The 22,980-nt window shown below is 53.5% G+C and overlaps 2 protein-coding genes and 2 non-coding genes across 10 annotated transcripts, besides 8 other annotated features; 2 read left to right on the plus strand and 2 right to left on the minus strand.

Annotated features, from left to right (window-relative positions):
* RPL28 (ribosomal protein L28) lies at positions 860-18,270 on the plus strand. Of its 6 annotated transcripts, none has more exons than NM_001363697.1 (5): positions 860-893; positions 1,278-1,366; positions 1,498-1,621; positions 2,858-2,976; positions 17,871-18,270. In NM_001363697.1, the coding sequence occupies exons 2-5, from the start codon at positions 1,286-1,288 to the stop codon at positions 18,057-18,059; spliced, it is 513 nt and encodes a 170-aa protein (NP_001350626.1). In that variant the 5' UTR covers positions 860-893; positions 1,278-1,285; the 3' UTR covers positions 18,060-18,270. The 6 variants fall into 6 exon arrangements, with proteins under 6 accessions (NP_001350626.1, NP_000982.2, NP_001129607.1 ...); NM_000991.5 differs by lacking the exon at positions 17,871-18,270 and adding an exon at positions 3,171-7,013; NM_001136135.2 differs by lacking the exon at positions 17,871-18,270 and adding an exon at positions 6,482-7,013.
* Positions 3,109-3,170, plus strand: MIR6805 (microRNA 6805). The gene has a single exon (NR_106863.1). It is a non-coding gene; the product is annotated as a microRNA 6805 (primary transcript).
* Positions 13,301-13,400: an enhancer, noted in NCBI's record as "active region_15094". NCBI's record gives its function as "activates an Ori minimal core promoter by ATAC-STARR-seq in GM12878 lymphoblastoid cells {active_cell/tissue: GM12878}" and the evidence as "EXISTENCE:reporter gene assay evidence [ECO:0000049][PMID:35858748]".
* UBE2S (ubiquitin conjugating enzyme E2 S) lies at positions 14,673-22,716 on the minus strand. Of its 2 annotated transcripts, none has more exons than NM_014501.3 (4): positions 22,515-22,716; positions 21,743-21,890; positions 19,216-19,406; positions 14,673-16,690 (listed from the first exon to the last, which is right to left on the minus strand). In NM_014501.3, the coding sequence occupies exons 1-4, from the start codon at positions 22,515-22,517 to the stop codon at positions 16,364-16,366; spliced, it is 669 nt and encodes a 222-aa protein (NP_055316.2). In that variant the 5' UTR covers positions 22,518-22,716; the 3' UTR covers positions 14,673-16,363. The 2 variants fall into 2 exon arrangements, with proteins under 2 accessions (NP_055316.2, XP_011525054.1); XM_011526752.3 differs by lacking the exon at positions 14,673-16,690 and adding an exon at positions 18,891-19,075.
* On the minus strand, positions 17,518-17,585 carry SNORD157 (small nucleolar RNA, C/D box 157). The gene has a single exon (NR_145781.1). It is a non-coding gene; the product is annotated as a small nucleolar RNA, C/D box 157 (small nucleolar RNA).
* Positions 18,750-19,250: an enhancer, noted in NCBI's record as "H3K4me1 hESC enhancer chr19:55915190-55915690 (GRCh37/hg19 assembly coordinates)". NCBI's record gives its function as "activates a minimal SCP1, AML or CMV promoter by ChIP-STARR-seq in primed H9 embryonic stem cells {active_cell/tissue: H9 hESC(primed)}" and the evidence as "EXISTENCE:reporter gene assay evidence [ECO:0000049][PMID:30033119]".
* Positions 19,251-19,751: an enhancer, noted in NCBI's record as "H3K4me1 hESC enhancer chr19:55915691-55916191 (GRCh37/hg19 assembly coordinates)". NCBI's record gives its function as "activates a minimal SCP1, AML or CMV promoter by ChIP-STARR-seq in primed H9 embryonic stem cells {active_cell/tissue: H9 hESC(primed)}" and the evidence as "EXISTENCE:reporter gene assay evidence [ECO:0000049][PMID:30033119]".
* Positions 22,179-22,692: an enhancer, noted in NCBI's record as "H3K27ac hESC enhancer chr19:55918619-55919132 (GRCh37/hg19 assembly coordinates)". NCBI's record gives its function as "activates a minimal SCP1, AML or CMV promoter by ChIP-STARR-seq in primed H9 embryonic stem cells {active_cell/tissue: H9 hESC(primed)}" and the evidence as "EXISTENCE:reporter gene assay evidence [ECO:0000049][PMID:30033119]".
* Positions 22,179-22,814: a biological region, named in NCBI's record as "H3K27ac hESC enhancer GRCh37_chr19:55918619-55919132".
* Positions 22,345-22,814: a silencer, noted in NCBI's record as "silent region_11029". NCBI's record gives its function as "represses an Ori minimal core promoter by ATAC-STARR-seq in GM12878 lymphoblastoid cells {active_cell/tissue: GM12878}" and the evidence as "EXISTENCE:reporter gene assay evidence [ECO:0000049][PMID:35858748]".
* Positions 22,825-22,884: a silencer, noted in NCBI's record as "silent region_11030". NCBI's record gives its function as "represses an Ori minimal core promoter by ATAC-STARR-seq in GM12878 lymphoblastoid cells {active_cell/tissue: GM12878}" and the evidence as "EXISTENCE:reporter gene assay evidence [ECO:0000049][PMID:35858748]".
* Positions 22,895-22,944: a silencer, noted in NCBI's record as "silent region_11031". NCBI's record gives its function as "represses an Ori minimal core promoter by ATAC-STARR-seq in GM12878 lymphoblastoid cells {active_cell/tissue: GM12878}" and the evidence as "EXISTENCE:reporter gene assay evidence [ECO:0000049][PMID:35858748]".

The raw sequence follows: 22,980 nt of genomic DNA on the forward strand, positions 1-22,980 counted from the left end.
CCTGACAACGGATCATAACCTCCCAGGGAGCTGATGGGGTGTGACAGGCACACCATAGGCTGGAGGCACAGGTGGAGGGCAGGGAAGAGGACCGGCAAATCTATAGAATCCTAAAGGGAGCCAAGAGAAGCCACATGCAAATCTCCCTCCCTCCAAACAATTCTCCCTTAGAGGGCATCCGCGCTCCCCTGGGGTGGCAGTCAGCGAGAAGTTTCCGTGTAGGTTCTCCCCAGGCTTAAACAGTTTAAGAGTTTTATTTCAAGAAAACCCTGGGGAGGGCGAACTGCAAGAGGGCTGCCAGGATTAGCCGAGGGATTCCGAATGAAGACGGAGTATTTCCGAACATACACACCTCTCCCAAGAGCGTTTCCGGAGGGTTCCGAAAATACCCGAGCGGGCCTCGGCGCCCTCATTGGCCATCACCGCGAGGGCTTACGAAGACCGGAAATATCCAAAGGTGCCGGGGCTAGGCTTATATAGTTCACGCATTCACCAGTTCATTCATAAAACAAATGTTTGTTGAGCGCCCATCATATGCCAATCACAGTGACAAGTGCTGGGTGAGCAATACTGGAGAGATAACGCTGAGGTATGGGTCCCAGGACCTCTCGAATTGGAGCCACTCGGAAATCCAGCGGTAGAGTTTCGAAAACTTCCGAACGGTTCCCGGAATACGCTCTCGGCCCTCTAACCGAAGAGTTCCGAATATTCCCGAGCGTTGAGCGAATTTTCGGCGGAAGCAGCCGAACATCATCGAGCCGCCTCGGAGGTGGGGACCGACAACTCCTGTCGTGCCCGCCCGGAGAGGAAGCGGAAATGCGTGTACGGTATTAAAGGCGTCGCCTCGCCCCTCGCCTTCCTCTTTCCGTCTCAGGTCGCCGCTGCGAAGGGAGGTGAGCGTTCGTCTTCCTCGCGTGGTCGCCATCTCCGGCCCGCCGCGCACTCCCTCTCAGTCCTCTGCCTGCCTTCTCCCCTTGCGCCTCAAGGGTCATTGGCGGACCCCAACCCCTCCCCGTGAAGTCGTTGTGAATTTTCAAGTTATTTTCCCCTCACTCTCATTCGCCGCAGCTAGTCTCGGCTGCCTGAATTCGGTCCCGCCGCCTTAGGTCACTCAGTCCCGCCTGACAAGAGTTCTAGGTCGCTGTCTGCCCTCAGGGGTCTCCCATTCACCCAAGTTCCCAGTCGCTCTCTTCCTCTGCTGTCCGAGCGTGGCCCGTGGCCTAACGCTGCTTTAGTTCTCTGTGTCTGACGCTTTCCCTGTGCCCGTTTCCCCGCAGCCGCCGCCATGTCTGCGCATCTGCAATGGATGGTCGTGCGGAACTGCTCCAGTTTCCTGATCAAGAGGAATAAGCAGACCTACAGCACTGTAAGTGGGGCCCGGATGCGTGGCTCCTGCGGGAGGAGGGTCCTGAGTCTCTTGACTCTGGGTCAGAGGGCGGGACCTTCGCATGTCTCCGGGTCCCTTATTCACGATGCCTTGTGCCGCCTCCTTCCCAGGAGCCCAATAACTTGAAGGCCCGCAATTCCTTCCGCTACAACGGACTGATTCACCGCAAGACTGTGGGCGTGGAGCCGGCAGCCGACGGCAAAGGTGTCGTGGTGGTCATTAAGCGGAGATCCGGTGAGTTTTGTCTGGTTTGGGCCAGAGAGCGGCCCCTTTCCCGGGTCTGGGAGCTGTGATTTTTTACTGTCAGGCAGGAAGAGCGGTAACTGCCATCGCGGCGGGCATCCCTGGCGCCAGGGTGTTGGTCTGGGTACCGGCTTCCCTCTCGGCCGACTTGTCAGCTCTGTGAGCCGCGCGCGTCTGAGCCCGTGTCCTCACCTGTAAAGTGGAGAAATGAAAAAGGACCTGAACTTCCTCGGTGGTTGTTGAGAGTTAAGGCACGGGGTTGATGTTTTCAGATGAAATTCTCAAAGCAAGTCAGGGTGGGGATGGATGGTTTCATCCCACAGGTGGGAAGATTGAGGCACAACAGGGGAGGGGCCCTCGCTACCACACTTAGGAGGGGACAGGCTGGGTTGGTTGCAGCCATTTGATTCCCATTTTGCCTGTGTAGGTTAGAGAAGAGGTCTTGGGGACCCCACTCCATACATTGTGCTGTCAGGTGCAGGCCTTTTTGGGGATTCCCTGAATGTTCGTGTGAGTCGGGGGTCTCTAATGGAGGAGTCCAGCTTCACATGTGTTCTTGACAGGGCTGTATTTTCTTTTTAGAGTGAGTTTTTCTCAGGTCCTTGATTGGAACTGCCTCAGAGCCAAGGGTCCTTTTACTCAGTGGCAGCAACAAACGCAGTCTGTTGGCTAGTGATCCTCCTGTCTCAGGGACACGTAGTCCAGGGAGCAGCCAATTGCTTGGCACTTGGGGACCCCGTTCTGGGGAGTCCTGAAAGCTTTCACCTCTTGGATTGCCGAATACATGGGTGGCCCTTCCTAGACTAAGGGACTGGCCTGAGTGAGGCTGGGCCTCTCAGCCAAGCTGATGTTGAACCACTGCTGTGGGGATGGGCCTGGGGTTCCTGGGAAGCTGTTCATACCCATTGCCAGGAGCGTGGGCTCTGGCTGGACCTGGATCAGATCCTAACTGAAGCGGCAGCTTTCTGGCATGAGAAAGGAGTGTTTTCATGGTGGACAGAATTGGGCTATGAGTGTGGCAGAAGCTGTGTCCTCAGTACTCCGTGATGACGAGTGAGCCTCTGTGAAATGGACAGGTGGGAAAACAGCTACCTGCTGGCCTGCCCAGGCACCCGCCACGGGCCCACGCTGCTCAGCTTCTCAATGTGAGACTGTCCACACCTGCGAGGTGTGCTAAAGGTGCAGGTTAGGTGGACTGACCCCAGGACCTCCCTGACCCCCAACCAGGCCAGCGGAAGCCTGCCACCTCCTATGTGCGGACCACCATCAACAAGAATGCTCGCGCCACGCTCAGCAGCATCAGACACATGATCCGCAAGAACAAGTACCGCCCCGACCTGCGCATGGTGAGCTGGGGTTTGGGGATCAGGCTTGGGGAGACTGGCCAGTGCTGTGGGGAAGGGCCTCCCACTACTGGTTGCAATATGGGCTGGAGAGGGATGGATTCTTGCTTTCAGCCTACTCCCCACACCCAGCATTGGCCTAGGGGGCGGCTTGTGGAGTGTATGGGCTGAGCCTTGCTCTGCTCCCCCGCCCCCAGGCAGCCATCCGCAGGGCCAGCGCCATCCTGCGCAGCCAGAAGCCTGTGATGGTGAAGAGGAAGCGGACCCGCCCCACCAAGAGCTCCTGAGCCCCCTGCCCCCAGAGCAATAAAGTCAGCTGGCTTTCTCACCTGCCTCGACTGGGCCTCCCTTTTTGAAACGCTCTGGGGAGCTCTGGCCCTGTGTGTTGTCATTCAGGCCATGTCATCAAAACTCTGCATGTCACCTTGTCCATCTGGAGGTGATGTCAATGGCTGGCCATGCAGGAGGGGTGGGGTAGCTGCCTTGTCCCTGGTGAGGGCAAGGGTCACTGTCTTCACAGAAAAAGTTTGCTGACTTGTGATTGAGACCTACTGTCCCATTGTGAGGTGGCCTGAAGAATCCCAGCTGGGGCAGTGGCTTCCATTCAGAAGAAGAAAGGCCTTTTCTAGCCCAGAAGGGTGCAGGCTGAGGGCTGGGCCCTGGGCCCTGGTGCTGTAGCACGGTTTGGGGACTTGGGGTGTTCCCAAGACCTGGGGGACGACAGACATCACGGGAGGAAGATGAGATGACTTTTGCATCCAGGGAGTGGGTGCAGCCACATTTGGAGGGGATGGGCTTTACTTGATGCAACCTCATCTCTGAGATGGGCAACTTGGTGGGTGGTGGCTTATAACTGTAAGGGAGATGGCAGCCCCAGGGTACAGCCAGCAGGCATTGAGCAGCCTTAGCATTGTCCCCCTACTCCCGTCCTCCAGGTGTCCCCATCCCTCCCCTGTCTCTTTGAGCTGGCTCTTGTCACTTAGGTCTCATCTCAGTGGCCGCTCCTGGGCCACCCTGTCACCCAAGCTTTCCTGATTGCCCAGCCCTCTTGTTTCCTTTGGCCTGTTTGCTCCCTAGTGTTTATTACAGCTTGTGAGGCCAGGAGTTTGAGACCATCCTAGGCAACATAATGAGACACCGTCTCTAAAATAAAATTAGCTGGGTGTGGTGGTGCACCGCCTGTGGTCCCAGCTCCTCAGAGGTTGAGTAGAGGCTGAGGTGAGCGGAGCACTTGAGCCAAGAGTATGAGGCTGCAGTGAGCCCATGAGCCCCACCACTACACTCCAGCCTGGAAGACACCATGACACACAGTGAGGCCTGGATGGGGAAAGAGTCCTGCTGTTGATCCTCACATGTTTCCTGGGCACCTAACTCTGTCAGCCACTGCCAGGGACCAAGGATCCAGCATCCATGGCACCCCTGGTTCCTGCCATCCTGGGGTACCCGATTCAAAGAAGGACTCTGCTCCCTGTCTGAGACCACCCCCGGCTCTGACTGAGAGTAAGGGGACTGTCAGGGCCTCGACTTGCCATTGGTTGGGGTCGTACGGGGCTGGGAGCCCTGCGTTTTGAGGCAGACCACTGCCCTTCCGACCTCAGTCCTGTCTGCTCCAGTCTTGCCCAGCTCGAAGGAGAGCAGATCTGACCACTTGCCAGCCCCTGTCTGCTGTGAATTACCATTTCCTTTGTCCTTCCCTTAGTTGGGTCTATTAGCTCAGATTGAGAGGTGTTGCCTTAAAACTGAGTTGGGTGACTTGGTACCTGCTCAGGACCCCCCGCACTGTCCCAATCCCACTCAGGCCCACCTCCAGCTGGCCTCACTCCGCTGGTGACTTCGTACCTGCTCAGGAGCCCCCACTGTCCCAGTCCCACTCAGGCCCATCTCTGGCTGGCCTCACTGCGCTGGGACTCCGCCTTCATAAGGAGAGCTCACTGCTCACGTTAGTAGATGGCCCCTTCTCGTGAGGCCTCTCCCCTGGCACCTGCTTCAGTTGTCCTCCACAGCACTGATTTGCAGCCCACAAGCTGGCAGGTTTATCTGTCTCATGTTTGTCTTGTGCTGGTGGGCAAGGGGTTTGTCTAGCACACCAGCATATAATGAGATGCTTGATGAATGGTGCATATTGAATGTATAAAGCCCACCGGTCCTGAGAGTTTGCTCACTGGAGACTTTCTGGAGATGGAGTCTCGCTCTGTTGCCCAGGCTGGCGAGTGCAATGGCGCGATCTTGGCTCACTGCAGCCTCCACCTCCTGGGTTCAAGCGATTCTCCTGCCTCAGCCTCCCGAGTAGCTGGGATTACAGGTGGGTGTCACCACACCCAGCTCAGTATTGTATTTTTAGCAGAGATGGGGTTTCACCATTTTGCCCAGGCTGGTTTGGAACTCCTGACTTCAAATTACCCACCTGCCTCAGCCTCCCAAAGTGCTGGCATTACAGGCGCTCGAGGCTTTCTGATGTGGCTGCTGCTGCTCAGAAGGCCTTGTCCTTAACCACCTCCTTGCCTGCCCTGGAGGCTTGTGCCTCTAGGCCCCACCCCCTGTGGAGTCCTGCTGGCTTTCTCCATCCCTATCTGAATCCTCCCTGCTGTGTGGCCTCCCCTGGTCTCATCCGTAACACAGCCCAGCTTAGTGGGCCTCTGTTCCTGCGGGTGGCCAGCCTGTCTGTGTGGCTGGGCTGGGGAGGCCACGTCTGGTATCTGAATGCTATCGGTGGGTTGGGGTGGAGGAACCAGGAGAGGGCTGGAGGGAGGGAGATGGTCTCAGCCCCACAGAGTTTGGAGTCCTCAGTGTGCTGAGCAAACGTGGAGACACCATTTCCCTCCTCTAGACCTCATCTTGGAGAGAGAGATGTTGGATGGGGCCATCTATTCCAGCTTTATTCACACAAATCATGTCTGTTGGCCTGGAAATTGGAAAACCAGTTAAACCAAAAACATGATATTAAGAAAACAGGCAGGCTCACCATAGTAAAAATGCTGAAAGCCAAAGACAAAATTGGGAGAACAAAAGAAAAGCGTCTTGTCACATACAGAAGGTCCCTGATAAAGTTAGTAGCTGCCCTCATCAGAAACCAGGCCCAGGCAGTGGGGACACATCCAGAGTGCTGAAAGAACCTCCCCCAGGTCATCCTATCCCCAAGAGTGATGCCCGGCAGCATTCCCAGCTCAGGGCTAATGGTTCACGGAAGCCAGGAATCAAACTGCCTGGGTTCCAGTCCCAGCTCTGCCAGTTATGCCCAGCTGTGGGGACTTGGGCAGCTCGTTTAGTAGCACCGTGCCTCAGTTTCCCATATGTAAAAGGCCATTTTGAGTGCCTTTCACAGCCCTGCATAAGGCAGGTGTCTCAGTGTTCACTGCTGTCTCTCCAGCTCTTAGTCCAGTAGCTGCATGGTGAGTGAGCGTAGGGCGCACCCTGGAAGGCTGCCAAGCCCAAAGTTGTGCAGAGCGCTGGGGACTCCAGACTCCCCACAGCAGCAGAGACTCGGGACTGAGGCATCCTCTGTTCACAGGACATGCTGGCATCTACTGGGTCAGGGCTCTGCTGCTCGGTGGCTGTGCAACCTTGGGCAAGTTCCTCAACCTCTCTGTGTCTTCGTACCCTCATCTGTAACATGCGTGTCGATAGACCCTACTACTCAGGGTTGATGAGAAGATTAAATGTGCAAAACCTGCTTGACTGTGCCCACAAATCCTGATTGTAGGAATAAATTAATGACTTTTTATAAATATTTTGATCAGATGGACTCATGATCACAGATGTCTTCACATGCCTATGACTAATTTGTACACAAACTAATGCTCGTGTTTCCCAAGCACCTGGAAGACATGCCAGATCCATGTGCAGTAATGCCTGGTGGCTCCAGGTCTGCCCCGCCGTCCTGTGGGGCTGTGAGCTTTCCCAGCCTCCTGCCCGTGTTTGTGAATATCATTCTGTCCTCAGCTGCATTTCCAGCCCAGGCTGTTTGGCGCTGCCCAGGAATGGTATCAATTCCCCTGTTTCTCTTGTAGCCAGTTACTAGAATAAAATCATCTACTTTAAAATCTTTCATTATGAAATATGCATGTGGTCTTGAAAAACTGCAAATGAAAGAAGAGTATGCAGGGGAAGAAAATCTCAGAATCCCAGCCCCTAAGTTAGCCACCTGTGCTTCTCCTTTTTGGAAACTTCACACATATGCATGCAGATCTCCTCTTTTTGTTTGTCTAAGAGACGGGGTCTCACTGTTGCCTGGGTTGGAGTGCAGTGGCGCAATCACGGCTCACTGCAGCCTCTAACTCCTGGGCACTCTCAATTGTCCCGCCTTAGCCCCTTGTGTAGCTGGGACTAAGGTGTGCAGCACCACGCCTGGCTAATTTAAAAAGATATTTTGTAGAGACAGGGTCTCACTGTGTTGCCCAGGCTGGTCCTGAAGTCCTGGGCACAAGCAATCCTCCTGACTTCGTCCCCCAAAGTGTTGGGATTACAAGCGTGAGCCACTGCACCCAGCCTCATCTTTTTTTTTTTTTGAGGCGGAGTCACGCTTTGTTACCCAGGCTGGAGTGCAGTGGCGCGACCTCGGGTGAGCTACGCCTCCCAGGTTCACGCCATTCTCCTGCCCCAGCCTCCCCAGGAGCTGGGACTACAGGCGCCCGCCACCACGCCCGGCTAAATGTTTTTTGTATTTTTAGTAGAGACGGGGTTTCACCGTGTTAGCCAGGATGGTCTCGATCTCCTGACCTCGTGATCCGTCCGCCTCGGTCCCCCAAAGTGCTGGGATTACAGGCGTGAGCCACCGCGTCCGGCCCCAGCCTCATCTTTTAATGTCTTACACAGATTGGATCATGGCAACAGGAACCTCCCCCTTGCTCCTTTTCCCTAATGCACTGGGCTGTCTCTCCATCAGCACACACAGGCTGCGGGCCCCTTTCGATGGCCATCAGCGCTGCATTGATGAAGCCACTCATTTAAACACACCCCTCAATGGCTAATCCCCCAGAGGCTCCCCAGCACCCCTCTCCTCTGTTCCTCTTGAACACCTGGCCCTCCCCCAGGCCCAGCCATCCCTAGCATGTCTGAATCACACCTCCAGCGGCCCCAGCTCCCACCGGCCTCCCACACCCGCCCGCTCCCCTGCTGTCCCTCCAGGCTGTTCTCTACACAGTAGCAAATTGATCTTTACAAATGATAAATGAGACCTGTCATCCTCCCTTGGCCGACGCACCCCCCCCCCCCCCCGACCCCCATGAGGAATAAAAGCCCAAACCTTTCTCTAGGGCCAGCAAGGCCCGGGATCTGGCCCTGTCCAGTCTCCCCAGCCTCCTTAGGCTGTAATCTCTGAGGCCTCTCTCCTCCCTGAAGCTCCTAGCTGGTCCCTAGGCTCAGATGAAGACTGTCTCCAAAAAAAGAAAAAGGTATAATTCACGTAACATAAAGTCCACGCTTTTAGAGTGCACAATTCAGTGATTTTTAGTCTTCACAAAGCTTTGCAACCACAACCCCTATCTTATTCCAGAACATTTCATCATCCTGAATGGACACCCAGTATCCATGAAGCAGCCACTCCCACTCATGTCCCCTCTAGCCCCTGCCCTGCCAATCACCAATTTGTTTTTTTTTTTTTTTTTTTGAGATGGAGTCTTGCTCTGTCGCCCTGGCTGGAGTGCAATGGCATGACCTTGGCTCACTGCGACCTCAGCTCACTGCAACCTCCACCTCCTGGGTTCAAGCGATTCTCCTGCCTCAGCCCCTCAAGTAGCTGGGATTACAGGGGCCCGCCACCACGCCTGGCTAATTTTTGTATTTTTAGTAGAGACGGGGGTGTCACCATGTTGGCCAGGCTGGTCTCGAACTCCTGACCTCAGGTGATCTGCCTGTGTTGGCCTCCCAAAGTGCTGGGATTACAGGTGTGAGCCACTGCACCCAGCTACAAGTCTTTTTTTTAAAGGGACAGGGTCTCAGCTGGGTACGGTGGCTCACTCCTGTAATCCCAGCACTTTGGGAGGCCCAGGCAGGCGGATCACAAGGTCAGGAGATCAAGACCATCCAGGCTAACACAGTGAAACCCTATCTATACTAAAAATACTAAAAACTGGCCAGATGTGGTGGTGTGCGCCTGTAGTCCCAGCTACTTGGCAGGCTGAGGCAGGAGAATCGCTTGAATCCAGGAGGCGGAGGTAGCAGTGAGCCAAGATCACGCCACTGCACTCCAGCCTGTGTGACAGAGCGAGACTCCGTCTCAAAAACAAACAAACAAACAAAAAGATAAAGGTCTGTTGCTCAGGCTGGAGTGCTGTGGCACAATCTCGGCTCACTGCAGCCTTGAACTCCTGGGCTCAAACAATCCTCCCACCTCAGTCTCCGAAGTAGCTGGCACCACCGGTGTGCTCCACCACACCCAGCTAAGTTTTAAATATTTTTGTAGAGACAAGGTCTCACTGTGTTACCCAGGTTGGGCTTGAATTCCTGACCTCAAGTGATCCTCCTGCCTTGGCCTCTAAAAGTGCTGGGATTACAGGTGTGAGCCACTGCACCTAGCCCAGAATTTCTATTTATTTATATATATTTTTAAAAAGAATCTCACTCTGTTTTCCAGGCTGGAGTGCTGTGGCAAGATCAAGGCTCTCTGTAGCCTTGAACTCCTGGGCTGAAACAGTCCTCCCACCTCAGTCTCCAGAGAGGCTGGGACCACAGGTGTGTGCTGCCACACCCAGCTAATTTTTAAAATTGTTTTGTAGAGACACGATCTCACTATGTTGTCCAGGCTGGTCTTGAACTCCTGGGCTCAATCCTCCCAAAGTGCTGGGATTATAGGCGTGAGCCACTGTGCCTGGCCCCACCCAGAATTTTTAAAACATGAAAAAGCTTATGTTTTGGGCCAATCTCTAAAATATATTAAGTGAAAAAAAGCAACCTGCAAATAGTGTAAATGATATGCCAACATTCCTGTTAAATATTTTTAAATATTTAAACAATAAGATGCATGTGTATTTGCTTGTATATGCATCGAATGCCTCTGGATAGTCACAATATGCAAACATTTGTCTCAAGGAAGGAGAGTTGGAATACCATGTGATGAATATTAGCCTTTCTTTTTTTTCCTTTTCTTATTTATTTATTTATTTATTTTTTTGAGACAGAGTTTCACTCTTGTCGCCCAGGCTGGAGTACAGTGGTGCGATCTCGGCTCACTACAACCTCTACCACCTGGGTTCAAGCGATTCTTCTGCCTCAGCCTCCCAAGTAGCTGGGATTACAGGCATGCGCCACCATGCCCAGCTAATTTTGTATTTTAAGTAGAAACAGGGTTTCACCATGTTGGCCAGGCTGGTCTTGAACTGACCTCAAGAGATCCACCCATCTTGGCCTCCCAAAGTGCTGGAATTACAGGCGTGAGCCACTGTGCCTGGCCTTCTTTTTCTCTTTTTTTTTTTTTTTTGAGACAGAGTCTCTTGCACTCTCCCCCAGTCTGGAGTGCAGTGGCGCCATCTCGGCTCACTGCAAGCTCCGCCTCCCGGGTTCACGCCATTCTCCTGCCTCAGCCTCCCTAGTAGCTGGGACTACAGGCGCCCACCACCACACCCGGCTAATTTTTTGTATTTTTAGTAGACATGGGGTTTCACTGTGTTAGCCAGGATGGTCTCAATCTCCTGACCTTGTGATCTGCCCACCTTGGCCTCCCAAAGTGCTGGGATTACAGGCATGAGCCACCGCGCCCAGCCTCTTTTTCTCATTTTAAAGATAAAAATTTCTATAATGAAATGGCTCCCTTTCATTCTTGTATCTGGGACAACCAGTTCCCTTGATCAGGGACAACCAATGTTACCAGGTTCTCGTGTATTTTTCTGGAGAAATTCTATGCAAATGCAAGGAAATTTATATATGTATTCTTTTGCCCCCGGCTTCCTTACATGACTGGTAGTGTCCCATACAAGGCATATTGCACCTTGCTTTTTTGACTTAACAGTAACCTTTGTCTGAGCGCGGTGGCACATGCCTGTTATCCTTGCACTTTGGGAGGCTGAGATGCGAGGATCCCTTGAGCCCAGGAGTTTGAGACCGGCCTGGGCAACACAGTGAAATTCCATCTGTACAAAAAAATTAGCTGGGCGTGGTAGTGTGCACCCGTAGTTCCAGTTCCTTGGGAGGCTGAGATTGGAGGATCACTTGAGCCCAGGAGTTTGAAGTTGCAGTGAGCTATGTTGGCACCACTGCACTCCAGCCTGAACAACAAGAATGTAAACTTGTAAAAAAAAAAAAACTTTAAAATTAAAAATTCTGAAATACAGCATACACACAGAAAAGTGCATAAAATGTATTTATACACTTAAAAAATCATAAAACACCTATGTAACCAATACCCAGGTCAGGAAATGGAAGACTACCAGACCCTCAAACCACCCAAGTATTCAACCCTGGCTGGAGGTAAACAGTATTCTCACTTTTAGGAAAGTTCTCCCCCCTCCCCTCCCCACCCCTCCCCTCCCCTCCCCTCCCCACCCCTCCCCTCCCCTCCCCTCCCCTCCCCTCCCCTCCCCTCCCCTCCCCTCCCCATCCCTCCCCTCCCCTCCACTCCCCTTGTTTTTTTTTGAGACGAGTCTCACTCTGTCACCCAGGCTGGAGTGCAGTGGCTCACTGCAAGTTCCACCTCCCGGGTTCACGCCATTCTCCTGCCTCAGCCTCCCGAGTAACTGGGACTACAGGTGCCCACCACCACGCCCGGCTAATTTTTTTGATTTTTAGTAGAGACAGGGTTTCACCGTGTTAGCCAGGATGTTCTCGATCTCCTGACCTTGTGATCCGCCCGCCTTGGCCTCCCAAAGTGCTGGGATTACAGGTGTGAGCCACGGTGCCTGGCCTCCCTTCCCTTTCTTTCTGAGGCAAGGTCTGGCTCTATCGTCCAGGCTAGAGTGCAGTGGCACAATCTTGGCTCACTGCAACCTCTGCCTGCCAGGCTCAAGCCATCCTCCCACCTCAGCCTCCTGAGTAGCTGGGACTACAGGTGCACACCACAGCGTCCAGAAAATTTTTGTGTTTTTTGTACAGACAGGGTTTCGCCATGTTGCCCAGGCTGGTCTCGAACTTGTGAGCTCAAGCCATCTGCCTGCCTCAGCCTCCCAAAGTGTTAGGATTACAGGCGTGAGCCACTACACCCGGCCTCCTTGTTTTCTTTTATAGTTTACCACCACCATATGTATGTTTAGCAGGAGAATTTATTTTTGCCTATTTTTGAATTGTGTATGAAGGCATTCAAGCTGTAGTATCTTTTGTGACTTGCTTAGTTTTGATTATGTTTGTGCTGTATGGTATTGTTTCTTAAATATACAAGCATGTTTCTGCTGTTTGTAATCGGGACAAATGTTTTTGTTTTTGTTTTGAGACGGAGTCTCGCTCTGTCTCCCAGGCTGGAGTGCAGTGGCGCGATCTCGGCTCACTGCAAGCTCCGCCTTCCGGGTTCACGCCATTCTCCTGCCTCAGCCTCCTGAGTAGCTGGGACTACAGGCGCCCGCCACCACGCCCGGCTAATTTTTTTGTATTTTTAGTAGAGACAGGGTTTCACCGTGTTAGCCAGGATAGTCTCGATCTCCTGATCTTGTGATCCACCCGCCTCGACCTCCCAAAGTGCTGGGATTATAGGTGAGCCACCGCGCCCGGCCAGGACAAATGTTTTAAACCTGTTGTGTATGTCCAAGTACATGAGAGCTGGGCATGGTGGTGCGTGCTTATAGTCCCAGCTACTAGGGAGGCTGAGGTGGGAGGTGGGAGGTGGGAGGTGGGAGGTGGGAGGATCAGTTGAGCCCGGGAGTTTGAGTCCATCTTGGACAACATAGTGATACCGCATCTTCTTAAAGAAAACAACCTGTGTCCTATAGAGTCAGAAATGGGAATGTGAGGTTGGGCGTGGTGGCTCATGCCTGTAATCCCAGCACTTTGGGAGGCCGAGGCAGGCGGATCACTTGAGACCAGGAGTTCAAGACCAGCCTGGCCAACATGGTGAAACCCTGTCTCTACTAAAAATACAAAAATTAGCCCAGCTTGGTGGCACACGCCTGTAATCCCAGCTACTCGGGAGTCTGAGGCATGAAATCGCTTGAAACCTGTGAGGCAGAGGTTGCAATGAGCTGAGATTGTGCCATTGCACCCCAGGCTGGGTGACACAGCGAAACTCTGTCTCAAAAAAACAAAAAGAAAGAAATGGGAATGTGAATTTCTAGAGTGGGATTTGGGCTTGAGACGCAGGAAGGAGTTACCCCGGCATGGATGGTTGTGAAGAAATAGAAACAAAGGGAACCTCGATGTAAATGAAAACCAAACCGAAACCAAAAAGGTTGTTGAGTAATAAGTTGAGTTCTTTTGACTTGACTACAAAGTTTCAAAATGGGCTTTACCATCTCACTGTTCCAACTGGAGTCTATAGGAGTTCCTAGTGCTCCGCCACCTTGCCAACACTTGGTATTCTCAGATTTAATTGTTGTTTTTCTAGGAGTATAATGGCATCAATCTTGGTTTACATTTGCATTTTTCCAGTTACTAATGATGTTGAGTACCTTTACATGTGTTGAGTAACCATTTGGATTTCCTGTGTTGTGAAGTGCTTGTTCAAGTGTTTTTGCCAATTTTTCATGTTTTTTTCTTATTCGTTTGTAGGAACTCTTTATACATTTTGTTGCGTGTGTTGAGGGGAGTGGCGGGGGTGTTGAGACAGAGTCTCACTCTGTTGCCCAGACTGGAGTGCGGTGGTGCAATCTCGGCTCACTGCAGTCTCTGCCTCCTGGGTTGAAGCAATTCTCCTGCCTCAGCCTCCTGAATAGCTGAGGCTATGGGCATGCACCACAATGCCTGGCTGATTTTTATATTTTTAGTTGAGATGAGGTTTCGCCACGTTGGGCAGGCTGCTCTTGAACTCCCAACGTGAAGTGGTCCACCAGCCTTGGCCTCCCAAAATGCTGGGATTACAGGTGAACCACCGTGCCCGGTTTGTTTTGAGGAAGGGTCTCCCTCTCTCACCCAGGCTGGAGTGCAGTGGTACGATCATAGCTCACTGCAGCGTCAACCTGCCCATCTCAAGTGACCCTCACACTTCCGCCTCCGAAGAGCTGAGATTACAGGCGCACACTACCATGCCTGGCTAATTTTTTTCTTTTCTTTTCTTTTCTTTTCTTTGAGACAGAGTCTCGCTCTGTCACCCAGGCTGGAGTGCAGTGGCAGGATCTCAGCTCACTGAAACCTCTGTGTCCCAGGTTCAAGAGATTCTCCTGCCTCAGCCTTCCAAGTAGCTGGGATTACAGACATGCACCACCACGTCCAGCTAATTTTTGTATTTTTAGTAGAGACAGGGTTTCACCATGTTGGCCAGGCTGGTCTTGAACTCCTGACCTCAGGTGACCTGCCCGCCTTGGCCTCCCAAAGTGCTAGGATTACAGGCGTGAGCCACCCCACCCAACCTTGTTTAGTGTTTTAACGGAGGTTTCATTACATGGGCATATTAGACAAATCATTGACCATTGGTCATTGACCTCAACCTTCAGCCCCTCTCTTCCCAGAGGTTGGTAGGTATGGGTGGGGCTGAAATTCCCAACTGTCTAATTCGGTCTTGGTATTTCTAGTGACCAACCCCCTTCCTGAAGCTACGCAGGGGCCCATCACAGATGGCTTCATTAGGACAAAGACTGCTCCTATTAATACCCAGGAGATTCCAAGGGATTGAGGAACTCTGTCAGGGCTAAGGGCAAATATTATTTTTATTATGCACTTCGCTAAATTATTTCAGTGGGTTCCGAGGCCCAGGATGCAGGCACCTTCCTTCAGCAAGGACTGTTTGCTTCCCTCATGCAGAAATGGTTGACGATAAACGCAGAGCTTAAGATTTCTTGGATGGCCAGTGATGTGAATTTGATCTGAAAATCTGAAGGGTTTCTTCCCTTGTCTTTCCTTCGCTCCCTGCACTGCTAGAGGTAGAGAGGAGTGCAGACTTTTGGTTCCTTTTCTCCCTTAGCTTGGGAGATTGTCACTGGAGGCAAGGGCTCAAGGAAGGGTCAGACCCCTTTCAGAGGCTGAGCCGTTTCAACCTCAGCTGTTTTATTAGAATAGGCAAATTCTTTCAGGACAAAAGCAGCCTTTGAGTTTTCCACTCTCCTATGGGTCAGAACTTGTAGATTTTTATTGTAAATGTATTTTACTTTTTGTAGAGATGGGATCTCACTGTGTTGCCCACGTTCGTCTTTAACTCCTGGCCTCAAGTGATCCTTTCACCTCCTAAAGTTGGGATTACAGGCGTGAGCCATTGCGCCTGGCCTATTTTTAATTTTTTTAAAATTAATGAGACATTGGTCTAAATAACCTAAACGCATTAATAGAATGGGAAGTTTCCCCACCCCCTGGTGTGCACACCCAGGTTAATCCCTTCCCCTTGAGGGCAGAAACTAAGACTAAGCTGGGATCTTACCCCTGTGATTTAGTCATTATCACTTAAGTATCTGGATGGGCCTGACCTAATCCGGTGAGCACCTCAAAGGGAATGGGCCCTTAAATCAGACCTGCCAGGGCCCAAGGAGGGGCAGCTTCTTGGAGCTAAGACCCTAGTTCTACGAGGACTGAAATCAGCCAACAACCATGAGCATGGAAGAGGACCCAGACTAAGGAACACCAACAACCAATACCTCAATTTTAGCCTGCAAAGCACTGAGCAGAGACTAGCTCAGCCGTGTCCAGACTTCCAACACAAAGTCTGAAGTGGGTGTTGTTTTAAGCCGCTGGCTTTGTGATCTGTTGTGCAGAAATACATGTGGGAACAGGCTTTGCTGCCCACAAGGGAAAAACCAATCTTTAGCACAAAGCAGGATCAGATGATTCAAGGGGACCGAACCTTGGCCCAGTCCAGAACCAGACAGACGAGGCGAGCCTCATGCCAGACTGCTGGCACCTGGCCGTCCTGAGCAGGAACACCACTGCCACACCAACGTGGCCATTATTCTAGAGGGAGAAGTATAGGGCAGTGCCGCTCAGGCCACCAGGAGCAGCTCCAGGTCCTCGCCCCATTTTAGATTGGAAATCTGACTCCAAAGAGGGGTTGTGACCGCTCTACCTCCACAGAACAAAGAGGTGGACCCAAACCTCAAACAGCAAGGCTGGTGAGCTAGATGGACCCACTGCTGCAGTCCATGAGGCTTTACAAGGACCCAGGGCCTGTGCAGGGGAGCCAAACTCCCAGAGCCACATGGCACCATGCAGCGGTCCTGGGGCATCTGTGAGACACAGAAGCTGCTTTTCCAACTTTATTTAGAAAAACAAATCCAGGTCCCAGTGCCCCCTGTACCCTCCCCGACCCCAGCCATAATTTAAATAACTTAGAGACAGAGTTGGAGGGAGGGGACAGGAGAGGTTGGGGTCACGGTGGAAGGAGGAAGAGAGCCCACTACAGCCGCCGCAGCGCCCGCTTCTTGTCCGTCTTTTTCTTGGCCGCCAGCTTCTTATCGCGCTCGCCAGCATGCTTCTTGGCCATGGGACCCTCAGCCCCTCCCGGGCCCCCTGGGGCCCCAGGGTCGGTGGAGGAAGCTTCAGTGCCACTGGCCAGGGCCCGACCGGCTTCGGCCCTGCCGCTGGGCCCGCCGGCGCCCCCGTGGATCTCTGTGAGCAGACGGGCCCGAGCCGCATACTCCTCGTAGTTCTCCAAGAGCAGGCGGCCCGCCTCCTCGTTGAGTGCAGACTCGGGGTTAGGGTGGATCAGCAGGCACTTGATGGTCTGTGGGAAGAGGCTCAGGGTCACAGTGGGTCGGGCAACCTACAGGGACCCCCAGGCCTCCACAAGAGGGTGGCCTCCGCACTGGCTGTTCCTTCTGCTCCCAACTCAGCTGCAGATCCAGGCCCCACCTATGCTGCATCCTCCCTCATCTTTGCTCCTGTCTCCCTCAGAGGCCACCTTCATGTGACCTGCCTCACAGCAGATGTTCCCAAAAGGACACGATGCCATAGGCCCAATGGTTTAAAATGTCCCTGGTCCTCCGTGGAACTTGCTGGGTAACGGGGGAAACGCCAAGGCCCCCTCTCAGGAGTCCATTACTTGCCTGAGCCCCAGACTTGAGTCCTATTATGGTTTTGAATTTGCCTCCATGCAGTTCAGCATGACCTTAGAGGCCCTCTGGTTCAACGAGTGAGGCCTGCAGCCTGGACAGAGAGAAGAGACTTCCCCAGGGCCTCAGGATTTGAGGAAATCACACCTGCGTGTTGGACTCTAAAGCTCCCCATCTTTCCAGATACAGCATAAATCCTGACCTCTGTCTTTTATCAGACATCCGAAGTTCACAGCCTAAGACTCTAGCTGGGTTGGACCACACACAAGAGGGCAAGACACCAGGACTGCTGGCTGAGGTGCACTTCGAGGGTGGTCCAGAGATTCCTCTCAACCCCCTTCACAGCCCGTCCTGAGGGGTAAATTGGAGTGCAGAGGTGTGACCTGCAGCCAGGCCTCCAGCAGCCCCAGCTGGATCCTCTGAAGTGGGTCTGGGCAAACTGGCCACAGCAGTTTGCTCCCTGGGGCCACTATGACACATACACAGTACCTGGCTCAGCAGATGCTCAGCAGATATCACTGATGGTGACCAGGACACAGGTTCCCACCCTAATTCTCATCACTGCACCCAAACTGCAGGTCTGGCTGCTCTTCTTGCTGGCTGAGCCCCTGACAGGCCCAGATGCTGACCTAGCAGCAAGTAGGCCTGGAGCTCGGTGCCAATGTCCCCAGCAGCCTCCAATGACACCCCAGGGGAAGGGAGGCGGTACATGTGGGAGGGAAGGGTTTGGGGTCTGTTTACCTTGGAGCTCAATCCTCTCCCTCCCCATGGCAGGAAACCCCAATTCCCCACCCTCTCTGCCATGTGCCCCAGGGACTCATTAGAAATTTGGTTAACTTTTTTTTTTTTCAGCTTGCGGGAAGGGTTGGGAGGCAGCAGGCTGTAAGCAGCCTGGAGCACCAGCCTAGACCAGGACGCCTCCACCTCAGCAACACCGCAGCCAGGTCATTCTGTGTCATGGAGCCATCTCGTACGCTGCAGGATTTGGGCAGCACCCTTGGCCTCCACCCACTAGATGCTAGTGGCACCCCCGAGTTGTGACAACCCTTTCTGGTCTCCTGACAATGCATAATACCCCTTGGGGGGCAAAATCACCTCTGGCTGAGAAACACTGGTTTATGAACCCTATCGCTATTAAAAAACCACTGAACTGTATACTTTGGAACTGAGTTTTACGGCATGTAAGCTCAGCTTTAGCAAAAAAGCCTCTAATGAGACCCCATCTCTGCAAACCATAAAAATATAAAAACTAGCTGGGTATGGTGGTGCATGCGTGTAATACCAGCCATTCAGGAAGCTGAGGCAGGAAGATCACCTGAGCCCAGGAGTTCAAGGCTACAGTGAGCTATGACTGCGCCACTGCACTCCAGCCTGGGCAACAAAGAGCCAGTATCTTTAAAACAAAAAGAAAGAAAGGAAAGAAAGGGAAGAAAGAAAAAGGAAAGAAAGAAGAAAGAAAAGAAAGAAAGAGCTTCTAACTAGACCCTTGACCTCCACCTGTCAGAAAACTGTCCTACAGGGTAGGCGCAGTGGCTGGCTCCTATAAGCCCAGCACTTTGGGAGGCCGAGGTGGGAGGATCACTTGAGTTCAGGAGTTTGACACCAGCCTGGGCAACAAATGAGACCCCATTCCTGTTTTATTTTTTATCTTATTTTTTTTTTTTTTTTGAGATAGAGTCTCACTCTGTCACCCAGGCTGGAGTGCAGTGGCGCGATCTCGGCTCACTGCAACCTCTGCCTCCCAGGCTCAAGCGATTCTCCTGCCTCAGCCTCCCAAGTAGCTGGGATTACAGGCATGTGCCACCATGCCCGGCTAATTTTTGCATTTTTAGTAGAGACAGGGTTTCACCATGTTGGCCAGGCTGGTCTCGAACTCCTGAGCTCAAGTGATCCACCACACCTGGCCTACCCTATCCTTGTTTTTTAAAAAAAAGGGAGAAGAGAAAAACCATCCTACAATACAAACTCACCACTCGTTGCATAGTAAGGTGCTCCTGGGCACTTCTCAACAGTACTTGGGTGTCCTGGGTCTGGCACTGTTTGTCTTTCCAGGAAAGCTAGCAACATGGATTTTTATGTGGAAACCTTCAACCACTTCAGAGTTGATTCAGAAAAACTAAACAAAGCGCTATGGCTCAGACACCAGCAGACCTCCAGAGGCAGGAGGCAGGAGGCCCAGCCCCAGCCCAGAACTCACCAGCAGTACGTGTCGGATGCCCAGCTCAGCCGTCCAGTCCCTCTTGAGCACGTTGACGCAGATCTCGCCATTGGCGCCCACGTTCGGGTGGAAGATCTTGGTCAGGAAGTAGCCCTTGGGTGGGGAGGCAGGGAAGTCCTTCCCCAGCAGGAGTTTCATGCGGAACAGACCTCCAGCATATGGGGTCCCCTCTGGAGTGGAGGGAGGGGTACAGGGTCAGGGCACTCAGGAGTCCCAAGGCACCTCAACACCCCAAAGTCCAGTCTCCACGGTCTGATTGTGATGCAGGTGGGTGCCCCGCCAACTCTGCCAACAGACTGGAGGATTCTTTTTTTCTTTTTTTGAAATAAGGTCTCTTGTGTCACCCAGGCTGGAGTGCAGTGGCACAATCTCAGTTCACTGCCGCCTGCAATTCCTGGGCTCAGGTGATCCCATCTCAGCCTGCCAAGTAGCTGGGATTACGGGCATGCCACCAGGTCTGGCTACTTTTTTATTTTAAGAGATAGGGTCTCACTATGTTGCCCAAGCTGGTCTTGCACTCCTAGGCTCAAGCAATTTGTTCACCTCAGCCTCCCAAAGTGCTGGGATTACAGGCGTGAACCACCATGCCCAGTCAGGCTGTAGAATTCTTAAGAGCAAGAGGCCAGGTGTGGTGGCTCACGCCTGTAATCCCAGCACTTTGGGAGGCTAAGGCGGGTGGATCACCTGAGGTCAGGAGTTCAAGACCAGCCAGACCAACATGGAGAAACCCCGTCTCTACTAAAAATACAATATTAGCCAGGCGTGGTGGTGCATGCCTGTAATCCCAGCTACTCGGAAGGCTGAGGCAGAAGAATCCCTTGAACCCGGGATGGGGAGGTTGCAGTGTGCGGAGATCGCGCCACTGCACTCCAGCCTGGGCAACAAGAGCGAAACTCTGTTTCCAAAAAAAAAAAAAAAAAGCCAAGCGCGGTGCCTCACACCTGTAATCCCAGCACTTTGGGAGGCTGAGGCGGGCGGATCACAAGGTCAGGAGTTCGAGACCAGCCTGGCCAACATGGTGAAACCCCATCTCTACTAAAAATACAAAAAATTAGCTGGGCATGGTGGTGCACGTCTGTAATCCCAGCTACTTGGGAGGCTGAGGCAGGAGAACTGCTTGAACCCAGGAGGCAGAGGTTGCAGTGAGCAGAGATTGTGCTATTGCACTCCAGCCTAGGCGACAGAGCAAGACTCCGTTTAGAGAGAGAAAAAAAAAAGAGCAAGAATGGCTGGGTTCCTAGGGGGCCACAGGACCTCCCCCAAAACCTCAGAGATGATGCCCATCTTGCAGCCCCCACCTGTGTCACTATCAAGCTCGTCTGCACCCTCCTGGATCCCCCGTCTCAGCCCAACTGACCACTCCAGTCACAGGCCCTTCCCAGGTGGCAGGGACCCAAGTACGCACTTTCCTATAAGATGCCCATTTATATGCCTTTCAGATCAAGGATCCAACTGTCTGTTAATTCCACAGCCTCCCAACCCAGTGAACGCCTCTCCCACTCACCCACTTGCTTGGGTCAAAATACTGTCCCTCCCCTAGCCCATCAGCAGCCTGAGCACCGGCCTGCTAGGTCCTCCCCTGAATCTCATCCCATCTCCAAGGCTAGCTTCCTGGCTGGCCTCTGGGTTCTTCCCCCTGCCAGGCCGGCTCTCCTCACTACAGTCAATAGGAACTTTGGAGGGATTTGTCACACCCCTGCTTTAAACCTTCCACCAGCTTCCTCTACAAACTCCTTGAAGAGGCCTAGAAGCCCTAAAAGAGCTTGGCAGCTTCATCATCAACTTTCTTCATGTGTTTTTACCAAGCGCCCAGCTCCACCTGCCCAAGGGCCTTTCTGGAGCCTTCCTATTGTCATGATCCCGCGCCCTCTGCAGCAAGGCATGAAGGACCTCAACTGTCACCGCTGCCAGGTCTTTCCTGACCACCTACCACCATCACCACCGTGGACTAGACCATTCCTTCACAGGCTCTGCTCAAATCCTGACTTTGTAGGAATTCTGGTGATAACAGAAATGTAGCCTGCATGAAACAGTATTCTAAATCACTCCGCAAATCATGTGACCCGCAAATCATTCATGACCCGTCTCCCCACGATCTGCATCTGGCTTGTTTCCTCATCCCTGACACTCACAGCAGGATGGAGTTTGAGATCACCTGGCCCACCCTCCCAGGCCCTTGCTGACACCATTCCCACCACCTGGAGCTCTCTTCCCATTCCTACTTAATTCCTACCCACCCTCAGGTCCAGGGAAGCCATGTCTGAAAGCCTTGCTTCAAATCTAGAGTACCGTCCCATGATATACTAACTCAATGACCAGATATTTCTCAACCCTTGTGGGAAAAGAGTACATAATTGTCATTTGTGGCGTCCTGCCCTGTCCACCAATGCATCCCAACACCTGACACGAGGCCAGCCTGTAATGGGTACTTCCCGCTAGGGTGATCTAGAGCAGGGTGATGGAGGATCTAAGCAGCAGCCCCTTCTCTTTTTCCTTCCAAACTCACCAGGGCCCTCGATGGTGACCTGGAGGTCGGTGAGGTCCTCCTCGTTGGGAAAGACCTTGATGCCATCGGGTGGGTCTGCGGTCAGTGTCGTCACCTCCTTGTACACCAGGCGGATGATGTGCGGGGGTAGGTTCTCCACGTTGGAGTTCTGGGCACGGATGGGAGAGCAGGGTGAGCGAGTGTTAAGAGCTGGGCTTCCCGCAGGGCCTAAAGATGCTGAGACTGCCCAAGTCTTGACTCAGTGGCCCCAGGCTGTCAATCACCCTTGAACTCCCAGACCCTCACCCAGGATGCTTCAGGCCATCAGCCCAGGCAGAGTTTCCAACAGAAATGGGGGCGGGTTCACGGGGGGGCTTGCAGATAACTCCACCCACCCCAGAACCCCCCCCCCAAAGCCCGCTCCTAACCCTGCTTGGTCCCCAGTGGTTCCACGTAGGCCAGAGATCTACTCTCTCCCCCTTCTCCACTAATTTTTGGTTAGAGCATCCTTGAAACCCCGGCTCAGGTCTGGAGATGGCGGCGGGGCGTCCTTGCTCCTGGTAACACCCATGGGCGGGCCGCAAAGCGCCCGGAGCCCTCGCCGCCAGGGAGACTGCGGGCCGCCCGAGCTCCTGCTCCGCCTGCGGGAAGGCCCTCGGGCCCATCCCGGGTCAGGGACCCCCAGGCTGGCCCTCAAACCCCTCAAGGCCGCCCGTCGGAGGCCCCTGAGACTCCACCTCCTCCCTCAGGGACACCCCCGACCACCTTCATGGGCCTCATCGCCCGTGCTCACCATGGCTGCGGCCGGCCGGGGGCGGGTCCCCCCGGCCCCCTTCCTGCGTTCTTCGGTCCGCCGGCCGGGGCGGGGGGCCCAACTGCTGCCGCTGCGGCCCTGGAGAGGCCCCGGCGGCCCCGCTCCGCTCCCCGCTGCCTCCGACGTCCGCCGCGCACAGCGTAGACCAACCCGCCGCCCCGGTGCCCGGCAGCACTGAGCCGGCCGCGCGCGCACCACTGCCTCTTTATAACCGCCCGCAGGCCACGCCCTCCGCGGCCCCTCAGCTCCGAGCCTCAACCGTGACGTCAGCGCGCACGTTCCTTGGTTTTCGACGCGCTCGCTCCCTTCCCCGCAAACTATGGTCAGAAGCGAGGGAAGTGGCGGAGAGGGCTGGGTAGCGGGCCGGCCAATGGGGGCCCGCGGGGGTCGGGAGGGTTCTCAAAGAACGGAGGGGCTGAAAAGGGGAAGAAGAGAGGAAGGGGGA

Source organism: Homo sapiens, chromosome 19 (assembly GCF_000001405.40).
Source record: "Homo sapiens chromosome 19, GRCh38.p14 Primary Assembly".
Taxonomy (NCBI): Eukaryota; Metazoa; Chordata; class Mammalia; order Primates; family Hominidae; genus Homo; species Homo sapiens.